The sequence below is a fragment of the Homo sapiens genome, chromosome 1 (genome assembly GCF_000001405.40).
Source record: "Homo sapiens chromosome 1, GRCh38.p14 Primary Assembly".
Taxonomy (NCBI): domain Eukaryota; kingdom Metazoa; phylum Chordata; class Mammalia; order Primates; family Hominidae; genus Homo; species Homo sapiens.
Genome location: NC_000001.11, coordinates 85655413 through 85675379, shown reverse-complemented (window position 1 = coordinate 85675379; position 19967 = coordinate 85655413). Strand labels below are relative to the sequence as shown.

The following is a 19967-nucleotide window of genomic DNA, read 5'->3' as shown; positions in this document are numbered from 1 at the left end:
CGATCCTCTTTGGGACTCTAAAGAAGGAAAGTTATAACATTAGAGTGAGGACCTTAAAGGAAAATGAAGCACAGGGGAGTTGAATGCCTAGAGCTAGGTCATGTGAGTTTCATTTAAGCATACTTCTTTGACGTATTTTTTGTTTAGATTTATCCCATTTGGCTCTTTGTTAAAATAAGTCTTAATGTTTTGACTTGTAGCTTTCTGAGTTGTGGTCTCTGGGTATCCTGATTCCTTTCTATGCAATGGCATGAGAGCAGTTTCCTTAACTGCTCCCTTTGGGGACATAACATCTTACGGGCATTACTGCAGCTCTTCTCAAAAACCCTGGTATGCTAGGACAAAGAGATTTCCATCCACTTCGGCTCTTCATGGACTTACAGTACACATTTCCAACTTAAAAAATAACTGTTCTCTGGGCCCAAGCAGTGTGTCCTATACTATAAATTTTAAAATACTCAGTATCCCCTGTTTATCTTTTATTACCAAGAATTCTGATTTCCTTGAATTTTGGAAGAAGAGGCTATTTTGTCAGAGTCAAGTTTGACTGGCTTAGGTGAGTGGACACATTAGCCCTCAGAGATATTCTCTTAGTAGGCTTGTGAGACTAAAGCCATGGTCTCATGGCTTAAAACATGAGTAACATTTAAATGAACTAATTAGATAAAATATGGCACATGGCAAGAAAGGAACTGAATTTAGAAGATGAAACAGATAATAAAAGAATTATGTAATGATTGACTAGAGGTAAATTCCAAGGAAACAATGTAAATTATTTTGTTTAAACATGAATTACGTGGAATTGATTTTAGGATTTTACTAAACAAAACTGACCTTTTTAATCGCCAAAGTGAAGGGAATAGTAGATTAATAAAGTAAAAAGTAAGTGGTGTTGACTATAAGGAATACCTAGAATAGACTGATTTGATACTAAACCTGAGCCTAGCTGGGTGCCTGTGGCTCATGCCTGTAATCCCAGCACTTTGGGAGGATGAGGCAGGCAGATTGCTTGAGCTCAGGAGTTTGAGACAAGCCTGAGAAACATAGCAGGACCTCGTCTCCGAAAAAAAAAAGAAAAAGATAAACCTGAGCCAGTCTGAGGAACATGAAAGTACTTTCACTCTACCTTATCTGTGGAGAAAGCTTATCTTCCAAATTCCCCCATTTTTGCTATTGACTCGAACTAAGTAATATATGAAAATACTATCAAAGCAAAGGAAGGGGGAAAAGGTTATGTCCCAGGTCCAATTTAAAAATTGCCATTCTGTTTAGCCTTGAGTAGTGATGGCATCATTTGACAGCAATAATAATGTCAGAAATTCCTGTTGAGGTAGCTTTCTTCTTGAAGTTGGACCTAAATTGGCATAGGGCATCTTTATATTTCTGATTATTAGGTCAGCCACAAAGCATAGTTATGCTAATTTCTAAAGAACCTCAATTTTATAAGTATTTTGTAGTCATAAGTAATGAAGTTAGATAGTATAGAGATATATTTAGGCGTAGATTTTTATTTTTTATCAGATTTTTAAAACATAATGTTCTCTGTAACATACTCATGAATGGACTAAGATGAGCATTTACATTTGATTGGTACATCCTTAAAGGAAAGTACATTACAGTTACATCCTTAAAGGAAAGTACATTCAGAGAACATCTAAGGAAAATTATTATAGGTTATAAATGTTAAGCTCTAATTTAAGATAAGCATTCTAAATAGAACCATTTTATTAATTTCCTGAAAAGTGCTTAGAAATCAGAAACATGTAGTTTCTTTGTGGCTGTTTAATTCTACATTTACAGCATTACAGTAACTTCAGAGTAAAGTCTTTTTACCAAATACTTGATGTTGCCAGTTTCCATTGGTTTTACTTTCCATTCTTGGAAGGTATATAGCAATTGTCTCATGATATAGATATACCTGGTCAGCTAGAGCATGCTTAAGTTTTTTCCAGGTTTTAGCTTTGCCATACATGACTTATTTTTTAAATTGCGATCCTAGAATGTATGTCTAATCTAAGGAATTCGCTACTGATCTGTTTGGGAGTTTTCTTTCCAGAATACATAGGGTCTGAATTTATCTCTTAGAAAAGCTATTATAGCTTTTTAAATAAATTCACTTATTCATTCAGCAAACAGTGAGTATGCCAAAGTCTAGATGCTGTTCTAGACATTGAGGCTATGGCAGTAAAGAAGAGTGTTCCTGCCCCTGTGGAGAAGATCATTCATGTAAGATGCTTGTGTTAGTAAAGCCATTCTTGCCCTTTGCCGCCTTATTTCTTACCAACTTTCTATTCTCAGAAAGTAAATGAGTGGTTTTGGACTAGAAAAGCCTATGTTGCTAAATGTCAGGCACTATCAGAGGGCAGCTGTTGTATTACTGCCCACTTAAGTTACTACTGACTGAAGAATTTATAAAACAACCAACTTTGTCTATTCAAGTACAGTTTTCCAAATCTATTAAATTTTAAGCCTGGATTTTACTTTTATGGAATTATTTACCAGAAAGAAATTTAGATACATTTTGTTTTTTATGTTTACTTTGCTGCTTTGATACTTGTAAATCTTCGTGGTTTTTTTTTTTTTTGTGATTTAAGCAGTTATAGGATGATCCTTTCCAAATTTATTCAAAAAAAACCATTAAGTACATTTAATCTTCTAGGCATATAAATAAAAATTGGAGTTTATACAAGAATGAATAAAATACAGTTCTGTTGTAGTAAGGAAAACAGACACACTGTATATATCATAAGAAACCTATGTCTAAGTCTTAAAAGTGATGTGGAAGGTAGCAGGTATCCTCATGTCATCAGAAGGCTTTGTTGTGGAAGTGATGTTTGATTTTTATTAAAGGTGAATGGCCTATGACTAGGAGAGGGTACAGAGGGCCTTAAGAAGTGCAAGGGCATGGTATGTCATAAACAAGGCAAGTAAGTGATTTGAGGAGGTTGGAGTGTATAGATGTATGCAGAGCAGTATTTTTTAAACTTTTTTTTAAAAGTTAAGGTTGAAGAGTTAGTTCAAGACCCAATACTAACGCTGTCTGGATCTGGTCTCCTTGGCAGTAGAAAACTGTAAAAATCTAGCAAAAAAAAAGCAGTAAGACTTGGTGATCAAGTTGGCTATAGGGAGCAATAAATAGGAATCAAAGGTGACTACAGTTTCTGGCATGATTGCTGTTTACAGAGAGATAAAAGTAAGGTCTGGAGAGGCTAAGAGCATGTTGAGTTTCATGTAGGGGTGGCATCATTTTCAGGAACACTACTTTTGAAAAGAATGACCTTACTCTACTAATTATTAGGATATCTTCAGAGTGAAACTGTATACTAGTAAAAAATAGTAATATTATCCTTCCAGAATACATAATCTGTGTAGTATACCTTACTTTACTTTATGAGGCTCTAGACTAGACTTTTTAGACCAAAAGTTTCACCATTACAAATAGTACATTTATTATAATAAATAAAAGTTTATTGTAACTGCTTCCTAAGCCTAAACCAAATCATGAGAACTTCCAGAATAACCTTTTTGCTCTTATGCAAAAATGTACATCAGAGATTTGCTGTAAAGTCAAAATTGTGTTTTTAATTTGATACATACCTTGGAAAGTTACTAAGCCTGTTTTCCCATCTAAAAGTGGGAATCAGAACAGAAATGATACTGCATCGTTGTAAAGATTAATTTGAGTTAATATTTGTCAGCTACTGAATACAGTGCCTGGCACCCAGAAAATCACTCCTGTGTATTATTCAAGTATTTTGAGTTTCAACTAGAACATCATGCTGAAATGATTCAATGAACGTAAGAGGTGTTTAAGTTCCACATGTCTGGTAGTAGTTAACTGTATCGTGTATTACTTTTTTTGTTTATTTGTTTAACAGCTTCTTTTGACCAAATTCATTTTGAAAAAAAAAAATTTTTTTTTTAAGAGACAGGGTCTTACTGTGTTGCCCAGGCTGGAATGCAGTAGCACAAGCATAGCCTCACTGCAGCCTTGAACGCCTGAGGTCAAGAAATCTTCCTGCTTCAGCCTCCTGCATAGCTGAGGCCCTAGGCATGCATCAGCCATATAATTTCTTATACTTCTGGGATATACTTCAAATGTAATATTAGCTATACATTCCCAACAGGCCACTCACCACTAAACACAAGGGAGCAGATAACCAGTTGTGTTTGTTAACATTTCTTTTGACATAATTGGATATTGGAAGAATATGAGAGATTTCAGGAACTTAAGATATTGTCAACTTATTTCTGTAGAAATTACTCCCAAATCTAGATATAGTTTTAACCTTTCTCCCAACCTCCAAATCTTGGTTTCCAGCTATCTTCATTTACACATCTCATTAAATCTTAAGCTCAACATGTCTAGATTTCATTACACTGCATCTATTTCTTCCTGATGTGTGTGTTTCGAATTTAATGGACTGACTGTTCCTGGCATCGAGTAAGCAGTCAACAAATGTTGGTACGCATTTTCTATTACTGGCACTGTTGTTCTAGTAAGCCAGGCGTAAGACCTTGCAGCTCAGCATCTTCAACTACTTCTTGACTTCTACCTTGCCACCTTACCTTGTGTAATTGACATCCACAATGAGTCTTCCATTTGTCCTTTCTTCTCCATTCCTTTTATGTAGACTATTAGTTACCAGTGTCTGCAACAGAGTTCATTTCCTTCCCCCAAACTGGATATAATTTCTGTATCTTTAGAACCTTAAAAGTGTTTTGCATTTCTCATAGGTTTCTATAAATTTGACTTATTTTATCCCAATAAAACTTAAATCACATGATGATTAACTCTCTTTTGAAGACAGTGGTTGCCGTAGGCATCTTCATTTTTATATTTCCTGCAGAGTTGTGTTAGTGACTTTTCCACAGTAAGTGTTCAGTCTTAATTTTTTAATCAGTGTGCTAATTCATTAAAATATATATATGTGTGTATATATATGTATATATGCCTGCTGTATGCTAGGTATTGATGCCACGTTAATACCCTTAAGCAGGGCTTGGGCAACTTTTCCTTTAAATGGCCAGATAGTAAATATTTTCCAGCTTTGTGGGCCATTTAGTCATAATTAGTCAATTCTACCATTGTAGCACGTAAGCAACTATAGACCACTTAAACGAATGGACATGACTAGAATATGGTCCAGTAAAACTTTATTTACAAAAACAGATAGTGGGCTGGATTTGGCCTCCTGGCTGTAGTTTGCCGATTCCTGCTCTAAAGGGTTTTTTTTATTGGTTTACATGATATCTGTATATCATGTAAACAGTTGGGGGCTTCAATTCTCAATGAAGAGAGAGAGAGAAGATTGTAACAAGGGCCTAGTATAATTTAAAAGTTACTTCAGAAAGTGTAGTACCTGCTCAGGGTCAGGCTTTTTGATACATGAACCTGACCTAAAGTATCAGTTAAGATTGATCAGGTCTGTATTTTTCATTTATTCAGTTAATTTTCATTGAGCCCCTTCCATGTGCTAGCCCAGTGCTAATACCTAGGGATATATAGACATCTACAAGACTAGCCCTCAAAGAGCTAGGTGGGAAGAATGATATGTGATAAATACCGCAAAAGATAGATACTTAAAATACAAGGCATAAAAGGTGCCCAGTGGAGGGCATGGGCATCTTTGCATGGACACTCCAGACTTAATCATTTCTTGATGGAAAGATAAACCATTGCCTTCACTTTGCTTCCAGAATTTTTCTTGTAAAGCCAAGAATTTAGATTTAAACCCAAGCCCAGGTTAAAGTATTACCTAAGCTTTGATTTCATGGATATCACAAAAATTTTTACTGTTCATGCGCATATTATCCTGTTGTACTTGCACAGAGCCTATTAGTTGTTTCCTCCTGTGCTGGTTTTAGTTAATAATTTTGGAATGCTTTTTGTTTGAAAAGCAACCAGCAAAAGTATGAGCTATTTCTCTTGGATGATTTTATTTCCATGCTGAGAGGATGTTTTTAAATTTTAAAAACTAAGGCTATTTTACCTTCCTTGGAACTTTATGGATCTTTAATCTAAAATATTTTAAAATCGTTTTCAGTGAAGTGAAGAGGTAAAATGCTTTTTCCTATCTCCTTTTTGAGAAATTGATTTTACCTGTGTAAAGGCCTCAGGTGAGCCCCACCTGACCTCTTTTGGCTTGCACCCACTCACTAGCAAGAAAAGACCCCCTTTCACTACTGGCCAGTTATTCTTCCTTCCTGTAAACCTCTCCCCAGTGGAACATGTAACCTGTATTTCTTTTCAGAACAATGCTTCTCAGATTTCAGTATCCATAATAATAGTCTAGGGCAGTTGTTGAAAATGTTGATTTCCAAACCACTCTCTTAGGGTTCTGGTTTAGTAAATCTTACATAGGACCCAGAAACCTACATTTTTTTTTTTTACAATCTCTGTCTCCCAAGGGTGACCATGATATAAGTTTTTCCTGGGACCACACTTTGAGAAACACTGGCCAGGTTGGTAAACTCTTTGAGGACATTTTTGGTTCCCACACAATGTCTAACATGTGACAAGTTTTTGGTAGATATATTCAGTTGAGTTGTTGAAGTTGTATAAAGAAACATGTCAATTGATATTAGAATGGATTTTTTTAAAATCACATTTTACCTCCTTAAAGATTAGTCTGTGCTCTTTGCCTAATTGAACTAGAAATGGAAAATTAGATGACTTTGTTTTAGACTTACAGTGAATAATTGAAAAATATACTTTGAAGATACTCTAAATAGGAAATTTATAAGATGTGTGTTAAAAGTTAGAACTTAAAAATTATTTTGAGAATAGTGCAGAATTAAGTATATACTGGAGAACACTGAAGAAATTCCAGAATTTCTAAGAACAGTATTAACTATTTTCAGATGTCTTTTCTTATGTAAACAGCCAGAGACATTTCTGCCTAAGATCCCCTGAAAATAACTGTTGAAGAATTAGTGAAGAATAAGAGCTTGCTCTCTAGATGGGATTACGTAAACTTCCTCTTGTTTTCCTTTTGAAATTTGATTCTGTTAATGGATACCAAGTTGATAAATGGGGGAAAATCATTTAATCTAAGAATCAATAGTGAACAACCATGCCTTTAATAGAAGATGCCATCATCAGTGCTCGTCCATCATGTTGAGATGTTTTTCAAAAATAACTTAATTTGTTTGTAATATATTTGTGATGTTTTGATCAATTTGATGTTAATAATAGTTAAAATTATTCAGTTCAGAAGAAATTTTATTATTTAAAACGTAAAGGTCATAGGTAATGAAATTAAATTTTACTTTACATTACATTTTTGTTGCAGAGAAGGTCAGGTATAAACATACTACTTGGTATAAAATTCTGCAAGAGAATCGGAATGGAAAAACAGAACAAGTAAGATTTCTAACTTAGAAAGCAGAGCATATATATATATATATATATATATTTTTTTTTTTTTTTGAAAGAGAGAGTGAGTGAATGAGTCTCACTCTGTTGCCCAGGCTAGAGTGCAGTCGCGCAATTTCAGCTCATTGCAACCTCTGGCTTTTGGATTCAAGCAATTCTCGTGCCTCAGCCTCCCAAGTAGCTGGGATCACAGGCACACACTACCACACCTGGCTAATTTTTGTATTTTTGTAGAGAGACAGGGTTTTGCCATAGTGGCCAGGCTGGTCTCAAACTGCTGGCCTCAAGTGATCTGCCTGCCTCAGCCTCCCAAAGTGCTGGGATTACAGGTGTGAGCCACCACACATGGCCATTATTCTTTTTTTTTTTTTTTAATGGATGATATTGATGTTAAATTACCATGATATTTACAGTCTAGTGAATTTCCTTAAGGGTGATATATTTCATCTTAAAACATCAATATTCACAATACACCATAAATTATGTTCTTTGCATCTACTTAAACTTGTAGGATGTCAATTTAAGAATGTACAAAAGTATCATTGTTTTTCACAATTATTTTAGGTTATGTTTAAGCAAAACAATGTGAAGGCCCTGAATAAGTTTTCCCAAACACACACAAGAATTGTTTCCTGCAAGAGTTATTTAAAATCAAGGTTAAATCTGGGGGCTAATATGTATCTTTATGGAATATAGTAAGTATGAATGACATACTTTTATTGAGTGCCTTACTATTATTTAGGTACTCTGGTAAGCACTTCGTACATATTGTAATTGTATTATTATTAAATGGATAGCCCGTCTACAGCTGTATGACCACTAAACGGTAGAACCTAGATCCAAACCTAGGTCTGCCTGCACTCAAAGCCTTAGTATGTTCTTTGCAATATAGTATATGCCTCTCAGCACCATAAATAATCATAATGCATGTTCTCAGATTATGTGAAACCCAACCACAGTTCTTTGTTATACCTTTTTGGGATTGTTGTTTATTTTTCAAAGTAATCATGGTCAAGATGAGTATGTGTTCAGAATGGCATTAACTTTTGACCACGTTTTGGATATAGATTCTAAAAGAAAGCGAGAATAAAACAAAGAACAAAGGAAGCATCATTTAAGGATTATAGCAATTCTGTATTCTATTACAGAACAAAGGAATCATCATTTAAGGATTAGAAAATGTTAGAGTTAACCTGAAGAATGTCCACACACAGAAAGGGAATATGTCAAGTGGTTTGCTAAACTTTTTTTATCATCTCAAAGATGATACTCTTCCAGTGATGGAATGGGCTTCATATGTGGTATTCTTGTTAAAGCAGTTTTATGATAAGAATTGTTAACTTAGCTTTAAGAAAGCTGAAGCTCAGCTAGTTGGCACAGTTCGGTGAGTGTTTACCGGACAGATATAAGCTCAACTATTGAGGTCTCGGTAGCTTTCAACCTGAGAAGGTTAGTTTGAGAGCCTGTATTTGAAGTGATCCAAAGTGATGTGATGGTCAAATTCTTGGCAGATTGTAAGCCTACAATTTCTATAGTGATAATCTTACTTCAAATATATTCTATTCTGATTCTTGGTTAAGGAAATTATGTGAAATATAAAATGTGAGTTTTCTCTAAAAACAAGTGATATTTTAGCGTAATGTTAATCTACTAAACTTACCTATCCTTGTTATGTTATAGAATATTTTGTGACCAATTTAAATGTTAGGCACCAAAACTGTGAATTCTATGTGTATTCCAATACCCATTCTCTGCTCAGTACTTTAAACATATCCGCTCTCTACCCAGTTCCATAGACCTAGCTCTCTCCTCCTATCTTTACCTTACACATATACTTTCTTCCTGGAAAGTCTGTCCTTTCACCTCTAGTAAATTCCTTATAGTACACCATTGTATTCCCAGTGCCAAGAACAGTGTCTGGAACATGGTAGACTCTCAGTAAATATTTGTTGAATGAGGAATGAATGAACAAGCACACAGTTGAGTGAAAGAAATCACAAAATTGGCTTTATAGTCCCAACTCTCCATTTTCTTGAGAGACCCTGAGTAAGATACTTAACTTCTCAGGGCTTCAGTATACTTAACTGGAAGACAAAAAAGACTGGGTTGTAAGTTCCTGCCAACTCTAAAATAATACCATTCTATAATGTAGTTAATTCATGGACTGTTGAACCTCTAAGCAAAAGTTTCTCTGAGGAACCTAATCATATTTTGCAAGGTAATATACATCCTAATAAAGACTGAAGATGTAAGAGTCTGTACTGATGAGACACTTGCATTCAGTTTTAGCTTCAAAGGAAATGTATGTTTTGTTAGCAAGATTAAGACTAAAGATTAAGATTTAAAATCCCTACATTAATTAGAGGGGAAAAAAGTGCATGGAGGAGAAAGAATTTTAAGAAACAAATAATTAACAATACTGTATTGTATACTTGAAATTTGCTAAGAGGGTACATTTTAAGTGTTCTTATCACAAGAAAAAAGAAAAAAATGCTATGTAAGGTGATGGATATGTTAATTAGCTTGATTATGATATTATTTCACAACATATACATACATCAGAATATCAACTTGAGGCCGGCACAGTGGCTCACACCTGTTGTAATCCCAACACTTTGGGAGGCTGAGGCAGGAGGATCATTTGAGCCCAGGAGTTTGAGACCAGCCTGGGCAACATAGGGAGACCCTGTCTCTACAAAAAAAAATAAAAATCAAATTGTATACCTTAAATAATATATATAATTCCTATTTGTCAATTATACCTCAATAAAATTGAGCAAAAAAAGAATATGAACCAATTAAGGAGAGGTGTTAGCTAGGGTTAGGAACTGAATTACCTAGATAGTGAAGACCCTGTGCAGCCTGCAAGAACAAAGGACATTTGGATGTTGGTACTGAACAAGAGAGGTTTGGGAGGCTGAGGCAGGCAGATCACCTGAGGTCAGGAGTTTGAGACCAGCCTGGCCAACATAGTGAAACCTGTCTCTACTAAACATACAAACATTAGCCGAGTGTGGCAGCATACACCTATAGTCCCAGCTACTCGGGAGGCTGAGGCAGGAGAATCGCTTGAACCCGAGAAGCAGAGATTGCAGTGAGCTGAGATCGTGCCTCTGGACTCTAGCCTGGGTGACAGAGCGAGACTGTGTCTCAAAACAAAACAAAACAACAACAGAACGAGAGAGAATATTTACTGAGGATCTACTTAGCTTTACTTTTTTTTTTTAACTTTTAGGTTCAGGGGTACGTGTACAGATTTGTAATATGGGTAAAATCATGTCACAAGGGTTTGTTGTACAGATTATTTCGTCACGCAGGTACTAAACCTAGTACCCAGTAGTTATTCTTTCTGCTCCTTTCCCTCCTCCCACCCTCCACCTTCACCTAGTTCCTAGTTCTTTGTGTCCATGAGTTCTCATCATTTAGCTCCCACTTATAAGTGAGAACATGTGGCATTTGGTTTTCTGTCCTGCATTAGTTTGCTAAGGATAATGCATGAAGATTCAGGAGAATGGCAAGCCCCAATCCAAGGAAACTAAGAATCACAATAAAACAGTACAGGAGCTGACAGACAAAATAGCCAATGTAAAAATGAACCTAACAGATCTGACAAAGCTGAAAAATACACTTCAAGAATTTCACAGTGCAATCACTGTATTAACAGCAGACTAGACCAAGCTGAGGAAAGAATCTCAGAAATTGAAGATGGGTTCTCTGAAATAAAGCAGACAAAAATAAAGAAAAATGAATGAAAGGAATGAACAAAACCTCTGAGAAATATGGGATTATGTAAAGAGGCCAAATCTACGAATCATTGGCATCCCTGAAGGGGATGGGGAGAAAGCAAACAACTTGGAAAACACATTTTAAGATATCGTCCATGAAAACTTCCCCATCCTTGCTAGATAGGTTAACAGTCAAATTCAGGAAATACAGAGACCCCTGCAATATTCTCCACAAGAAGATCATCCCTAAGATACATAATCGTCAGATTTTCCAAGGTCGAAATGAAAGAAAGAATGAAATGAAAAGCAGCTAGAGAGAAGGGGCAGGTCACCTACAGAGTGGCTACAGAGACGGATCACCTACACCGGGCTAACAGCAGAAACTCTTTACAAGCCAGAGAGTTTGGGGGCCTATATTCAACATTGTTAAAGAAAAAAATCTTCAACCAGGAATTTCATTTCCAGCTAAACTAAGTTTCTTAAGCAAAGGAGAAATAAGATTCTTTTCAGATAAGCGAATGTTGAGGGAGTTTTTTACCACCAGACCTGCCTTACAAGAGATCTTGAAAAGAGTACTAACTATAGAAAGGAAAAACCATTACTAGCCAGTGTCACTTTACATTTCTATCATGATACTTGTGCCAATGAATGCAATAGCTGTTTGTCTGCCTCCCCCCATAAAGTGCAAGGTTTATTTCTATGAACTTCCATTACCTAGCAGACTACCTGTGCATAGTAGACACTAAGTAAATATTTGAGCAATCAATTGAAGAATAAATGCCAGGCTAATGCTTATAACATTTTCACATGCATTAATTCTAATAAAGTATGTACTATGTCTTCTCTACTTTACCTGATTAGGAATCGTAGGCTCTGAAAAATTGACTTACCCAAAGAAACTAAGTTTGTACAGTTTATAAGGCTAAGATTTGGACTCAGACCTGTTTGTCAAGAGTTCAGTTCATGCTTTTTCTACTAACTAGTCTCTGTCTCTGTCATAAATCATAAATATAATTCCTGATAAGTATGTCATTTCCTTGCTAGGAGTGCCAAATTACTTTTGGAGTATAAAATCTTATTACTGATGCTAGCTTAGCAAGTTACACTTTGGAAACATTTTCACCTGTTATAGTCCTTACAAACTAACCCATGAGTAGGTATCTTTCCTACCATTATATTGATGGGCAAAACTGAGTCTCCTTGTGGAGTTATAGCTCATAAGGACCAGTGATAAGACTGGAACTCAAGCCTTGTGGATTTAAAAGTAATTGAATTTACCAGCGAAAATCAGAAAAGATTTCAAAGAAATAATATCTAGAACAAGTCAGAGCCTTGTAAGCCCCTCTTTAAAACAGGTTTTAAAATATATAGTTGGCCATTTTATTTAACCACATCCATAGTTTAAATATCATGGTTAGAATAGGATAATTTACCAAATGCAGTTCTGAACTGGTGAGCTTTCTGAATTAAGACATATGTCTGTACTACACAATTCATGATCTACTCTCCATGTCAAGCAGGTATCGTCCTCATTTATGTGGATATATAAAAATCCCAAAACAAAGTGCATCAAACCACTAACTTAACTACTGTGATTTTTAAAATATGAAAACTAAGAGAGATTGGGTGAGAAAAAGATTAACTATGGCAAAATCCTTTTCTATATGACTTGAACATTAGGAGTTGCAAAAATTGTTACACAGAAGTATTATTTGGAGAAATTTTAAATAATACCTTTTAAAGTTTAAATAAAAGAAGAATTAAAACTTTTTTGGAATAATTTAGTTGAACTTTTAATCTAGAAACCTAGATTGAGAAATAAATACAACTGTGAAAAAATATAGTTAAGTATCAAAAATTGTAGAAATTTAGAGCTGAAGGGATCTTAGTGATCACCTAATTCAATGATCTTATTTTAGTGGAAAAATACTGTGGCCTAGGGCCTGCTACTAGATTGCTAAATTTGGAGAAATTCAAACTTAGTTTTGGTATTTTTTAGCAGGTGGAAGGGGCGATGATCCATGGAGTGTCAGTGATCAGATGGGACATAAAGTGGTTTGTGATTTCGTTTCTTTAAAAACTTGTCTTTTGTGGTTATGAGGAGGTTTTTTTTTTTTTTTTAAAGCACACTAATTTGCTAATAAAGTACAGAGAAAGAAGTTCAAGAGCTTGGCCTGTTTCTTTGAAAGTTAGTGACAGAGTCAAGATTAAAAGCACACCCTTGATTATCATGACAACTTTTATTTATATATGTCACTGTAACACCTGTTTGGCCCACTGAGCCGTTCTGCCCTCATAATGCGCCCATGAGGCTGCCCAGAGCAGGGTCAGCCAGTGAACCTGTGAGGGTGAGCAAGTGAAATAACAAGAGGAAATGTCTAAGAAGGGTCCCAGAGGGCAAGAGAAAAGACAAATGTTAGTATCTTAATTCCTCCAAACCTAAGTAGTTTGTCTTATGGTAGCAGAGACATTATATTAATGGAAATACCAGAGTTTGTGAAAATTTCAAAAAGATAAAGCTGTCCCTTAGGATTCAGTAGCTTAATGGCTTGCAAAGGAGCTAAACCTAAGTGTTTTAGGCAGTGCAAAGCTGGGCTCTTAAAACTTGCTTCAAGATAGTGGAAACAGAAACATTCAAAGTACCTTTATCTTCTTGGAAGTAAATGTGACAATAAAATAATGATTTGAAGGTCATACAGAAAGTTGTAAGGCTACATTTAAAATGCAAAATGCACATAAAGGCAGTATGTTCACTGCTAATGAAATCCAGTGACTTTGTCCTGAACTAGAGTTTCTATAGGAAAGTGTTGTTATTTTTGGTAAATAAAAATATAAAACAAACACATGTGCTTAGGGCTTAAATAAATGAGTGAGCAGTTTCTGTGTTTTATCATTTAGCCCTCACAGTAACTCTCTGAAGTGATACTGTCATTATCCCCATTTTCAAGCATGGAAACTGAGGATTAAATAACTTAAGTAACTTGTCCAGGATCACAGACCAGTGAATGATGGAGCCGGAACTTTAACTCAGCGTTAAACTCCAAACCCAAACAACCAGTAAAAGTTATTGCTTCATTTAACTAAATTCCAAGTCCATAAAATATTAACCCCATATGTGTCTGATAGGCTTTCTTTATGAACAGTTTACAAAATTTACTTTTAAATTACTGATAAATATTAATGGTAGATTAAGAGTAACCACTTGTAGTAGAAAAATCTAAGAAATTCAGAATTTCAGCTAAAAGATTATTTAGTGAAATCTGAACGCTTCATTTAACAGGTTGGAAAGCTGTGGCCCAGAAGCTTACTGACACTCAATAGCGTATTGCTGATTAGAAGTTTGCAACATTTTAGGCTAAACACTAAATAAAATCCACTGATTCTAATCAAAACCACACAACATACCAGATTTTCATTGCATAAAATATTTTTAAAATAATTTATCAGTTGACAAGCCTCTTATAAATCTTTGCATCCTTAGTGCTTTTTAAGTGCCTGCTTAGCATGTAAAACAGGAACCAAGTTTTTTTAAGTATAATCATTACAGTTTCAGGATCCAAGTAAGTGTAATCATTACAGTTTCAGGATCCAAATAAGTGTAATCATTACAGTTTCAGGATCCAAATAAGTGTAATCATTACAGTTTTAGGATCCAAAGCATGTTTAACTTGTTGCATAGTAATTTTTATGTACCTCTGAACATTCCTCTGCTAGGAACATATTTTATATCAGCAATAATTTTAGGCTCTGATTCTCATGTGGCCTTTGAAGAACTCTTTTTGTTGCTTCTTGGTTTCAGCTTTGGAAATCTAGAGAAACCCAATTAAGATTTAATATTACAAAAAGAAATCAGATACCTAAAACATTAAATATGCACTGAAAATTATTTACCAAAAACTGAAACAAGTAAAAAACATTCCCTTATTTGAAAAATGCCTTTCATTAGAAGCCTTATGATTTAGCTAAAATGCACAGAAGATAAGTTATTGCCAAGTGCTTGTAGGATGCCACTTGAAAAGTTCCTGTTTGAGAGTCCAGGTCTTATTTCCTCCCAAGAAAAATTTAGTTATCACCATTTTATATTTTACTTTGTAAGTTAATCTTTTACTTGGGTATCTGATATAATCTCATTTTTCTTTTTTATATAATTGCTACTAACTTTGAAAAAAACACTGCTTATTTCAAAGAGAAATAATGTTTAAAAGATGTGAAGCATTTAATCCTTGAATGCTGGAAACACTTTTAAAGTATTGTAAGTACATCTGTATTACATTACACACAGGGAAAAGAATGTATGAATTCTATGATCTGTGGGCACTAAGGTGGCTGGTTTAGAAAAACAGTATTTTGCATTTCAAGTTTCTTTTCAACATAAAGAATATTCTGCAATTTTAAAAAGAATAATTCCAGGCTGGGGTGTGTGGTCAGGGAAGCATAAGTAAAGTTTTGGTTTTACAGTTGTTCTCTAACTTTAGTAAGCTTGGCTCTGCATTTTGTTAAGCACTTTTATATTTTTCCTGATTTGAAAACGATTGCGTGAGACAAACTCAGAACATGGAGAAATCACTACATCACATTTCTTAATGAGTGTCCTGCATGTCTTACTCAGCTATGATTATGGTGCAGATAATTTTTTACTAATTAAGAAATACCAAAGTTTGTGAATGATTTACTCTTAAAATTACAGCAAATTTAAATGTATCCCAATGATAACCTCACTCTTGATCACTTGTGTTCCAGTGTGCTTTTTTGAGCAGGAGATAAAAGGATGGAGTTACAGCCATTAGGCTGGATCTCATGAGATATGTGTTTTGCATGTGAATATCACCTGTCATTGGTAGAGATGAATAAAAATGCTGGAGAACTTCTGCACTAGACTGGTTGACATGTTCTCAGCTTTTTCTTCTTTGACATGAAATGACATTAACATGCCAACATATTCTCATATGTACCCGCTAGTGAGCTAGCTAGAATTCCACCCCTTTCACTCCCACCCCAGAAAGCAAGCAAGAATGAATGTTCTGGGGATGCATTTTCAGCCACCTCAGACTTATTTTTTTAAAGTAATGATTTGAGAATTTCATGCTTTAATGACCATTAGCATCTAATTACCTGTGACACATTTGGCAGCTATGTCACGATAAACTCTGTATTTCTTAAATTTTACATGGCAATATAAATTTCTGGAAACCAGTTATAATTAGAATAATTGACTTTTTTCCAAAAGCCAATTTTGTAACCAGTTATTTTATTGCCATGTTACTAGAAATTGTCATAAGGTGATTGGTTGTCTTTAAGGCTCAAAATAAATATATTTGAGGAATTCAAATAGTTAGCTCATCATTCTTTTATTCAAGAAAAATAACAACATAAATATTATTATTATTTTATTTTTTTATTTTTTTGAGGCAGAGTTTCACTCTTCTTGCCCAGGCTGGAGTGCAGTGGCACGATCTTGGCTTACTGCAGCCTCCGCCTCCTGGATTCAAGCGATTCTCCCACCTCAGCCTCCCGAGTAGCTGTGATTACAGGCATGTGCCACCATGCCGAGCTAATTTTGTATTTTTAGTAGAGATGGGGATTCTCCATGTTGGTCACGCTGGTCTCAAACTCCCAACCTCAGGTGATCCACCCACCTTGACCTCCCAAAGTGCTGGGATTACAGGTGTGAGCCACCGTGCCCGGCCAACATAAATATTATATAAGAGTCTTTAACTATTTCTTGGTATGAAAATTGATAACTTGTAGGCTGGTCATGGTGGCTCACGCCTGTAATCCCAGCACTTTGGGAGGCCAAGGCAGGCAGATTACGAGGTCAGGAGATCGAGACCATCCTAGCTAACACTGTGAAACCCCGTCTCTACTAAAAATACAAAAAAAATTAGCCAGGCATGGTGGCACGCACCTATAGTCCCAGCTACTTGGGAGGCTGAGGCAGGAGAATCGCTTGAGCCTGGGAGATGGAGGTTGCAGTGAGCCGAGATTGTGCCACTGCACTCCAGCCTGGGCAACAAAGCGAGACTCCATATCAAAAAAAGAAAAAGAAAATTAGTAACTTGTTTTAGAGCTTTCCTAATGTCAGAATATTTGATTTTTTTTTATTTAGTTTTAGAACCTCTATAATAATAGCTCTTGTACCTGCCTTTCTTAGAAGGTATTAAACTTACTATGCTATAAGGAAGTAACTACTGAATTGTCATCACCTTTAAAAAATTTTTAATGTAAAATACTCTCATATATTTATCTATTAGTAATTTTGAATATTAAGAGTGTTTCCTGGTTTTTTGTTTTTTTTTATTAATAAGATATTATGAACTAGATCCTTATAAAAGTCTCCTAGACAATTTGAGGAACAAAGTGATCATTGAGTATCCAACATTACATGTGGTATTGAAAGGATCCAATAATGACATGAAAGTTCTTCACCAAGGTAAGTGTAAATTTGTTTCTGTAATGCTTAGAATAGCTTTAGAGAAACCAAAGCAAAATATGTCCACCCTTATTTCTTTATATGTGTTTTCCCACTATATTTACACACTTACAGGATCTACTGTATAGCTAGTTAATGTGAAGAACCAGGTAAATGCAATGCTGCTACTCTTCTGTTTCTAAGAGCGTATAATCTTATAAAACCAATTTTAAGTGAATAAATCAAATTGAATGGCTATAAAAGGACTTTTTTTTAGCATGGGGTTCTATGTATTTTTTTGTCTTTTTTTAAGCTAATAGTCTTTAAGTAACTGTCCATGATCACGTACATTTACTCCATAGTTAAGACTTTAGACATTTCTAAAATGAGGGATTACAAAACATTTTTAGTTGACAATGAAAATGTTGAATGGTTAAAAAAAAAAAAAAAAAGCCTAGTATCCTACCTTATAGAAGGAGAAAATGTTGCAAGGAACATTATATTTAAAAATTTGGCAGCATTTAGAATAAGTTAATGCCATTGCCTTTACCCTTTATCTCCTTTTCTAAACCCACTGGTTTTATTTTCTCTGATTTTGTTTCTCTGATTTTGTGATATAGGGAAGTACTAGAACTGGAAAAAATGTACATAAAAGTTTAGTACATAAAATGACTCATCTATATTTGTAACTACTGATTAAAGTAAACTAACTGTGCTTCTGAATGCAAGATTTTAGAGGATGAGTAAAATTTAGTCACTACCTTTAAGAAGTGAGGAAGATTACCCACCTTAATCCAAAACTATTACATAGCACTTTCAACGAAAAGAATTACAGATACAGGCCAGGTTTTGTTGTAACAAACTCCAGAGGAGCATAGAATCTTTGTCTTGGATTGATACTATTTTTTAAGTAGTATTTGAAATGGGTAGTTTAAGTTTTATTGTTATACCAGCATTACAGGCTGTAAGATGCAGTAACCTATATTGTAAGGTATTCTCTGTTGTGCGTAGTGTTTTTTCTTTGCAAAAATTAATAGAAAAAAATTGTTTTCCAAAGTGGCCAAAATTGTATCAGTGCTACAACTTGAAACCAGATTTTAGTTAGCAAACATGATGTTTCTAATAATAAATTATGGGCCTCTAAATCTTATTTTTATTCTTGACATTAATATTTTTCACAATTTGAGAATTTTTTTCTCAGAATAAATTAGGAATTTTAGTTTTAAATGGCCAGTTTCACTTTGTTTAAGCTTTGTATTATGTTGCTTTTTTCTTAATAAATTCACAGTGCTCTCTCAAATGTTGGTTTTGGGAAAAGTTGTTTAGTAATGTAGGTTAGTAGCTAGGGCAAACATCTTCTGTATAAATAAACAGCACACACAGCTCTCCTTTCACCTTGTTTAGGAATGTACATTCAAGTAAGGCTTCCTGTAATGAAGCAATAAGAAAAGACTACTTTACTAGCGTACTGGGAGCCTTATTGAGTAAAATTTGCTATTTTTCTGGTGGATATATGATGTTTGACTTATTTACAGGAACACAAATGACTCATGCTTTTAGTACAGAGGATTATTTAGAACTGTGTTAGCAAAGAACTAAAAGTATCTGACAGGATTTTAAAACCATACCAGTTTTGTCACATCGTAAGTACACACACCTTAAAAGTAATGCCCAGGTCTTCCTGTACATGCATTTCTTTCTGTAAGTACTTCAAGGTGTCTGTTTCTTTATACATTCTCACAGCATCAGATATTTTGCAGGGTGATACCTTGATGAGGGAAGGGGATTATGTAAGAAGAGGGCATTTTCTTTGGAAAGCCTTGAAATTCCTTCCCTCTCTGGAGGTAAAAAAGTTGGATTTTGATCCTGAGTTTATAGTACAAGTTGTCTCTTTCCTAATTTGGGGGTACATGTGTTTCTGGTCTGGGATTCAGTAGTTCCCACACCTGATGGTTGTTCTAATATTTGTTATGATTGTAGATTGCCATAATTATTTGAGTCTGCCTATATTAATCAGCAGTAGCCAAGATTTTGTTTGTTTGTTGCTTTTCAGTAATGGAAAAGGTTAACTGGAAAAGATAGAGCTATTTAGATACTCCACTAGATTGGAGATGCTAAGTGCTGATTACCTACCTTATATCAGTCCAGTGGGAAGTGCTCAGAATGGTGTAACTTGCTTCACAGGCTGTTATTAGACTAGCAGATTTAGATGAGGGAGAAAAGCATGCTGCATTTCAATCTAAGGAAAAAAGAATGGAACCCTATTCAAAGAAGAAAACTGGGCACCTTCAATAGGCAAAGAAAGGGGAAAATGTCCCATACTGCTAAAAATCTTTATTAATTTAGAAATGTCAGCAAAATAAACTTTTTGATGTTCTAGTGTAACTCAAGATTAGAAAATGCCTCAGCCTTTAGAGAAGGAATCCAACCCAAAATTGATTACTGGAATTAGTGA

At 34.9% G+C, this 19967-nt stretch overlaps 1 protein-coding gene across 4 annotated transcripts in view, besides 1 other annotated feature; it reads left to right on the top strand.

The window, feature by feature from the left end:
* The window catches only part of ZNHIT6 (zinc finger HIT-type containing 6), a 59017-nt gene that overhangs the window by 33054 nt on the left and 5996 nt on the right, over nt 1–19967 (top strand). For 2 of the 4 annotated variants that reach the window (NM_001170670.2, NM_017953.4), the window contains one exon: nt 17409–17533. The exons of 1 other annotated variant lie outside the window; for it this stretch is intronic. In NM_001170670.2, coding sequence (NP_001164141.1) covers nt 17409–17533 — 125 coding nt within the window. Of the gene's footprint in view, nt 1–13102; nt 13263–17408; nt 17534–19967 lie in introns of those variants that run through there. One more of the 4 variants, XM_011541614.4, reaches the window with a different exon arrangement.
* Nucleotides 5289–5458: an enhancer, noted in NCBI's record as "experimental_9316 CRE fragment used in MPRA reporter constructs". NCBI's record gives its function as "activates a minimal promoter by MPRAs in K562 erythroleukemia cells, with activity observed for the introgressed 1:86135690 variant allele {active_cell/tissue: K562}" and the evidence as "EXISTENCE:reporter gene assay evidence [ECO:0000049][PMID:34662402]".